This window comes from Homo sapiens, chromosome 10 (assembly GCF_000001405.40).
Source record: "Homo sapiens chromosome 10, GRCh38.p14 Primary Assembly".
NCBI lineage: Eukaryota > Metazoa > Chordata > Mammalia > Primates > Hominidae > Homo > Homo sapiens.
The window spans coordinates 12,828,189-12,836,238 of record NC_000010.11 but is presented as its reverse complement, the minus strand read 5'-3'; the positions used below and the strand labels follow the sequence as shown (position 1 = coordinate 12,836,238).

The following is an 8,050-nucleotide window of genomic DNA, read 5'->3' as shown; positions in this document are numbered from 1 at the left end:
GTTTTCATCTGATGCTGGCTGTGTGGGACAGTTTTAATTCTACATTTCTATAACACATGTCCAATTCATTTTTTTCTCCCTACACAATCCCTATTTGGATTGGAAGAATTGTCTGGCCATCAGACCCGAGCCCCACAATACATTTGATGAGCTATGAACTGTAGTTCCTCCTCCTGCATCTCCCCCAAACCCCCACAAAAGACAGCAGCCAGCCTTCTGCCTGGAAAAGAATCTTCCTTTGGGCACTGCTATGCCGAGGAAATGGAAGAACGTGGGTGTGTATTGCTGAAGCCTGAGGCTGCCAAGCCACCCATGACTCAGAGGCGCTTCCTGGGGATCAGCATTGGCTTTTCCTCCACATGACTTAGGAATATTGAGTTAGTGCGATTTGAGTTCCCAGGCTCACCTCCAGTCCCCCTCTGCAGCAGCAGGGAAAAGGGGGAGCTTTCCTGTCCAGTGATCATGGAACCTGGGCACCTGTCCCCAACCCCAAAGGCACGATGTACCATCCCTTCACCCATCCCTGCCACTCCCTGCTCACTGGGGAGGTGACCTGAAATATTTAAGGGGGACTCCATGAGTTTGGGGGGTCTCAATTCAAACTCCTTCCTTCAAATCCAAACTTCAGGAAGCAGAGGAAAGATAGAGACACTGAAACTCCACATCCTTCTCATGACAGAGGAAATGAGCATCTGAAGGTGATTAATTGTCTTTATTGGAGGAAAACAGGAAGTCATCAATCTCATTATCATTATGATAGAAATCTTGATATGTATACATGATTGTCAAGGCAGAGAATCATTTGCTACATAGACCCATGAACAATTTTGCAGTGCCGCAAACCTATGTGGGTTAAACTTCTTGCAGAGTTTATTACATGCATGGAATAAATTCACAGTTTCCCTTCTTTTGGACAAACATGTTTTTATGGGAAAATTGAACCAATTGCAAGCCTGGTAATAGTAGATGCGGGGACATTCCTGGTTTTGATGTTGTAATTTTTTGGGAAGCATGCTCACTGTTGGGGGAGCTGAAAGAAGGGAGATTACATTATGTGTAGTGACAAAAGCCAATTGAGAGATTGTTCCAATGTTTATTCTGGACAGAGGGTACCTTTGAGGTCTTCTCACCTGAACGTGGGACTAAGATAAATGTTCTCTGAAACATGGCGCCCCATCTTTCGAAGCAAAGACTCTGCTGCATGCAATGTCGCTGCATTTCTGCCACCATTCGGACAGCATTTCATGTCCCTCTGATAGGGCCAAGTGCCCCGGGAAGGAGAGTGGCAGGTGTCAGGGCTGAGAGACAAACATCCGAGCTGATGTTCTTGTTCCTTTTTAGCTCTCTCGCAGCCTGGCTGCCAACCACGTCCCAGGGCCCCTGTGCCCTGAAGTGCAGGGCTTCCAGGAGAGCCTGGGAATCTGAATCTGTCTAGATTAAGATTTTCCTCCGAGAAGCAATTTAACTAGAGTTTGGGGTTTCTGAGCCCCTGCTGAAGTCTTATCTCTAAGAGTAAAACCAACTCCTCCTCATTTTCTTTTTTCCTGTCCATAAGAAAATAAAATCACCTTTAAAATAACATGGCAAATCATCAGAAGACATAATAATCGAATGAGAAGTTCCCCGGAGACAAAAAGGTTAAAAAACGGATATGGCGAATGCAGAAGCGGTGTTATAGTACAAAGGGTGAATGCAACCGTTTGTCCCTTTATACAGACACCGAGAAGCCATTCCACAGTTTGCTTTGTCCACAAAACCAGACTCGGCAGCCGCATGCTGAGCGTTTGGCTTCCAAATGCACAGCCTTTTTGGGTTTGCAAAAGCGGAGCTCCCAGAGCCACAAACTGAGCTGCTCCTGCTGGAGGTGGCGGGGAAGTCTGGGAAGGGCTGACTCCTTCCCACTGACTCTGGAGGCATCGGGAGGTGGCCGGGCCTCGGCCAGCATGCAGGACTGACTTCACAGTGGGGCTGGGGGCCCAGAGCTGCAGACCATGATGCCCCGGGACCACCGAACAGGTGCCAGGTGAGTGGGGCGTGGGCCCTTATCTTCCTCAGACCGCCTGCCTGCTCCCCAGAGTTGAGGTTGTCAAGCTAACTCATCTGCACACTCATTTTCTTGGAGTCTTCAGGAAAGAAACCCTCCTTTTAGGAGTCTGTTTGAGCTTTTCTATCTCCACATTTTCAATTCTGAACATCGAAAGACTGGAATATCTTTTGCAAATGTCAGGCACACCTGCAGCCCCAACCGAGGACCAGGTGCCCCTCAAAAGGGTGGTGGATCACATACAGGTATATACATCTTTTTTTTTTTTTTTTTTTTTTAACAAACTGAACAGTGTTTGGTCTGGAATGTGTTTAAGGAAAAGGCAAAGTTCGCAGAGTGTGGGTAGACAGAATAGGGAAGAAGTACAGTTTCAGAAGAACATGCAAAGGTTTCGTGCACTGGCTGAATTCAAGGACCTTCAATTAATTTGCCAGAAGTGATTGTGCAAACCTGGGAAAGAGGACATCTTACTTCTGTTTATGAAAAACGGGAGGAGCTTCCCTTTGCCCGCACTTGCCTTCCTTTCTCATATCCAAAGGAATCCCAGTCGTGTGCTTGTTAAATTCTGCGAAGCAGCGAGGGCTCTGGCTGAAGCTGCGGCAGTGGCCCTACTTCCACCTTCAGCCCTAGAGCAATGGTTCCAGCGTGGCCTCCCCAACGCGAAGACTCAATTCTGGCCAAGGTTCTGGGGGAGAGGGAGAGGTGAGGGGCCACGATGCTTTCAAAAATAAAGTCTACCTGCACTGGGATATCATCTTTCCTTTCTGTTTAAAAATGCTCATAAAATAGCAAGCCCCAGTGGGTTAATCAGGTTAAGCTGTCATTCCACAGGGGAGAGGATCAATCCACTTTCCAAAGGGGATCACCTGGGCTCCCCCCATTCCCCCCACCCCGTGTGCCTGGTGTTCTCGGCTTCTGTCCCTCCCACCTACGATTCATCCAGGGCATGATGGACACTAGGGTAGACAGATGAGTGGGATGAGTACGGGGTAGGTAAACCGAGTCCGGGGCTCCCTAGGCCAGATTCCTTTCATCCTACTACAGATATTTCCTATGAGCCCAGCCTTGGCCAGCATGGCCATCTTTTTTGAGACGGAGTCTTGCTCTGTCACCCAGGCTGGAGTGCAGTGGCACGATCTCGGCTCACTGCAACCTCTGCCTCCCGGGTTCAAGCGATTCTCCTGCCTCAGCCTCCCGAGTAGCTGGGATTACAGGCACGCACCACCATGCCCAGCTAATTTTTGTATTTTTAGTAGAAACAGGGTTTCACCATGTTGGCCAGAATGGTCTTGATCTCTTGACCTTGTGATCTGCCCGCCTCGCTCTCCCAAAGCGCTGGGATTACAGGCGTGAGCCACTGCGCCCTGTCCACTGTCCATCTTCTTTTGCTCGCTCTATCCTGACTGCCGGGGCCCTGGACACTACACAAAGAGCTAGCTGGAGAGTGAGACTCTCTCAAAGGCCAGCGGTGGCTCAGAGACTCTACACCGTTCTCAAGGTCAGATGCTAGAAGTGACCAGAATTGTGGCCATGGTCAAGAACGCAAAGCCACTCTTCCTTTTTTTAACTTTGTATGGCACGCTTTGCCATAGCTCTTTTCTTTTAAAAGAAGACCTGAAGGGGTAGAATGTTTTCTAGTCTCCGACAGAGGCAGGGGTAGGAGGAACTGGTGAAAATCAGCCACTGTGCACTGCCAGAGCCGTGCATGGTCCTGGGGGTTGCCATTTCTCTAACACAGCAAACCCCGTCTCTCCTCAAGGGCTTTGGTGGTCATTGAGCTTCTCCTAGGTGTGCCCTGCGCCTCTGCACCACTTCATTCTGAGGCTCCGGACCCGTGTGCCCGCTGGGAAGCAGAGCCGTAGAGAGGCAGACAGCTGCCCAGACTCCAGACTCCAAGGCCACCTCTGTGAAAAGGGCCAAGCTGCTGGCCTGTTGGTGCCCGCTCACTGTTTGTCTCAATGAATAGAAACTCCTCCTATTGCCTCACGTATGAGATGAAGATCCGGGAAGCCAGGGAGCCCAGACAGGCAGCTGAGGGAAAGGCCACTCCAGGCCACTACTTCAACATTGAATACTCCAAGTGAGGAAAAGAGAATCCACTTGCTCTGAGAAGGGATAGTGACCAAATGGGGGACTTGGGCTCAGGAAGGAAGCCTGTGATGGGGTCTACGCGTCCACCCTTAGCCTCAGCCCAGCACCCTGGGTGCATGTAGAAATGCTCAGCCTCTACAGGTGGACTCTGACCTTGGTGCGGGTCCTAGGACTCTGAGACCCCATTTGTCAGACCTTCACGAAAGGCACATTCTAGGTTCTCTTCCTGTTTTATAAGAAAACAAATCATACCAAGCGCAGTGCAAAGACAACCTCTTTTTAACATGAGAGCTCTCTCAAAAGCACAAGAGCGCCTCTCTTTCTCTGAAGCAATAGGAAATTAACCCAAGCCTGGTGGGATCAGGACAGTACAGGCTTCCTGATGTCATGCTCAACAGTTGACTCTTGGGCTGAAACCAGTCACTGTCTCCTCGCACGATGTTGTTGAGACCCGGCGTGTGACAGGCCAAGCATGGCCAAGAACTGACCCGAACAGCGAGGGGGGCACCTGCACCACGGCTCACCTTTCAGAGGTTCTGCACTTTTTGGGTGAGGGATACTTTCAAACTAAGTGCATATAACATGCACCACATGTATCTGCTCCTGAAAATACTTCAATCACCAGTAATGGAACTCAGCTTCAAATGCTGCTTTCTGAATGCAAATGGTTGTATATAGCACACAGCACAAAGGGCTATTCATCACTATTCATGTACTCATCCTAGGTACCAGATTCGGGTGCATTTTCAGCGCTTGCAGCCTTCTATTACTTTGTCATGCACTGTATGAACTCGAATGTTTCCAAGACACTTCTTAGTAAGCAACCGCCTAGTTCTCCAATACTGCTTATAATATTCATTCATTGCATGGCCAACTCAGGTGACACTTGCTTCTTAACTGGGTCTAATGTCATCTTATAGACCTTTCCAGGGTTTTTAGATTTTGCAGAGTGACAGCTTGATTTTTCACCCTGTGAGCATGCGTGGCAGATGCCATGCAGAATTCCTGCCAAGCAGTGGAGTGCCTGTGAAGTGTGCGGGGACAGGGTAGACCAGCTGCCTGTCTTCCCAACTGCTCTTCTCTGTGCCTGCACTGCCATTCTCAGGGAGCAGGATGGAGCTGCTGTGCCTAATAACATTGTGTGTGTGTGTGTGTGTGTGTGTGTGTGTGTGTGTGTTTATTGAGAGGGTGGGGGGGCATCACTCAACATTCAGCCTGTACATACTCAAAGGTGTAGAAGTGACAAAGATGACTCAACCAACAGGACTTCCCATGACTGGCCAGCCAGAGGAAGAGGGCATGAGGACACAGCCAGCAGCGTTACTGGGTCGTGATGACGCAGACCTGCCGGGACACCCCCGTGGGCTCGAGGCATTGGATGGGCCTGAGAGCTGAAGCAGGGGCACTTGCAGGAATGGCACTTGAAGCCACCTGCCTGGCTTTACAGGGCAGCCTCCTGGAAGCCTCCATGAAACGCAGCTTTCCCTGGGCCACACACTGCCTGGCTCCACAAAGGCGAACAACACAGCCTGCTTTGCCCCGGATATTCCTGGTTTTGGCATTAAATGTCCACAGCCTGAGAAATCCTTCAGTCTCGGGCAAATGGGACGTTTGGTGACCCTACCACCATGTATCTTTGATTTTAGACTCCCCTGACCAATGGGAGGGCTGCAAGCACTGGCTGGGCCTGGCGGAGGTGGTCTTTGGTCATCTCTGTGGTGGCTGAAGTCCCATTAGCCTGGCAGGGCCCCCTCTCCTTACCACCAGAAATGGATCCTTTCCCAAGGCTGCTTCCCTCCCTTCCTTCCCTTGGAAAACATTCATGTGAGAAGAGGGTAAAAATGTGGAGAAAGAACTTTGTGTTGGAGGCCACGTGAAGTGTAAGATTAGAAATGCATTTTTTTAAAAACCACAGAGAAAGAGATGAATTTTAACACTGCATAGCTGAGCTTTCATCTGTTAGCTCTCGTGAGAAATGAGGGTTGTGTGTGGGCCCACTTTCAGCAACATGGCAGCTGGTTCCTTTTGCAAGGGAGGGTCCTGCATCTCTGCAGTGTGGGCATCTCACTCACAGCAAGTCTGGCCTGTGAAGCTGAGCCCTGCGTCTCGGGGGAGCAGGCTTATTTCTGGTTGCTGATGGCAAGAGGCCTCTAGGGTCTCTGGTGGGTGTGGGTTCTGCTGGATGGGTTGCCAGCAAAGGCTCTGTGCAGATTCTCTACCAAAGTCCCCCGCAGAGAAGAGAGCCTCGCAGAACTGAGGGGCCCCTCCTCCTGGGGAAGGGGAGAGAAACAGAAGGAGTAGAGGTGAAGGGCACTCTTAGCCTTGGAGACAGATTCATGATCCTCTTGTTAGAATTTTTTTTTTTTTTTTTGAGACAGAGTCTTGCTCTGTCACCCAGGCTGGAGTGCAGTGGCACGATCTCAGCTCACTGCAACCTCCGTCTCCCGGGTTCAAGCAATTCTCCTGCCTCAGCCTCCCGAGTAGCCGGGACTACAGGTGTGTGCCACCACGCCCGGCTAATTTTTTGTATTTTTAGTAGACGTGGGGTTTCACCATGTTGGCCAGGATGGCCTTGATCTCCTGACCTTGTGATCCGCCCGACTTGGCCTCCCAACGTGCTGGGATTACAGGCATGAGTCATTGCACCCGGCTGATCCTCTTATTAGAATTTTAAAAAATACCTTTAAATTCTCCTTTGAGGAAAAACAAATCTCTTAAAGGTTAACATAAAACTACTATTAAAGAGGAAAAGATATAGGTCATGTAACTTAGAGATACAAAGGACATACTTCTTAAAAGGAAAAACAAACCCTAATGCACAATATTTACCAATATTTAAATAATCCAGTTGAAACCTTTTTTTTTTTGTCATTAATGAAAAAACACACCATAGACGGTTACCTACACTGAGAAGAGTGGAAACGATGGTGTTAGGGGAGAGGAATAAGAAGGTCCGTTCAGTTAGAGCTTTGCAAGATTCGTATATACAGCACCAGATCCTATGAAATCAGCGCCCCTCGAGTCAGTACAGTTTGTGAGAAATGAACACTTCAGAATTGCAGTAGAAAATATGGCCATAAAAAAACTTCGGTCTTCCAGTCCTATGCAGGAAGGGGCACCATGCAAGGTGGGGTCTCGCTGGAGTGGCTCGCGGCTCTGGCGACCCTGGGGCTCCCCTTCCCCAGCCCCGACCCCGGGCCCCACCTCCAGGGCCAGTCACTTGCTTCCAGAGTGCACTGCCGTCACAGTGGTGGGCCTGGGTCTCCGCTCGGCTCCAACTCCTGAGACCCCCGACGAAGAAGAAATGAAACTACAGAGCGTGGAAGGTGCCAGACCTGCAGGGAACAGCAGAAGTGGGCTTCAGAGTTTCAGAGGTAAATTCTCACCCTGCTTCCCACTGCCAGGTGTCAGAGGGGCTGGGTTTATGGTGGGGGGCGGGGGGGCCCAATTTTTTTTTTTTCTTGAGATGGAGTTTCACTCTTTTCACCAGGCTGGAGTGCAGTGGCACGATCTCGGGTCACTGCAACCTCTGCCTGCCAGGTTCAAGCGATTCTCGTGCTTCAGCCTCCCGAGTAGCTGGGATTACAGGGGCTCACCACCACGCCGGGCTAATTTTTGTATTTTTAGTAGAGATGGGGTTTCACCATGTTGGCCAGGCTGGTCTCGAACTCCTGACCTCAGGTGATCCACCCACCTCAGCCTCCCAAAGTGCTGGGATTACGGGTGTGAGCCACCGCGCCCAACTTGCGGGGACCCAAATTTTTACCCGTGTGACTATTTTTACCTACCTGTGGGAAAGCCTTTGCAATGGGTTCAAAATGCTTTATTCTTAGACCTCTCCTCTCCTTTTTTTTGGTGTAATTTTAACTGCTTTGTGTTTGAAAACAACATGGTTTCACCACTGTGGTACAACAG

The 8,050-nt window shown here is 49.9% G+C and overlaps 1 protein-coding gene across 8 annotated transcripts in view; it reads right to left on the bottom strand.

The window, feature by feature from the left end:
* Positions 1-693: 693 nt before the first annotated feature.
* The window catches only part of CAMK1D (calcium/calmodulin dependent protein kinase ID), a 485,999-nt gene continuing 478,642 nt past the window's right edge, over positions 694-8,050 (bottom strand). For all 8 annotated transcript variants that reach the window (XM_006717483.5, NM_153498.4, XM_006717482.4 and 5 more), the window contains one exon: positions 694-7,470. In XM_006717483.5, the coding sequence (XP_006717546.1) occupies positions 7,446-7,470 (25 nt within the window). In that variant the 3' untranslated portion in view covers positions 694-7,445. The remainder of the gene's footprint in view (positions 7,471-8,050) is intronic.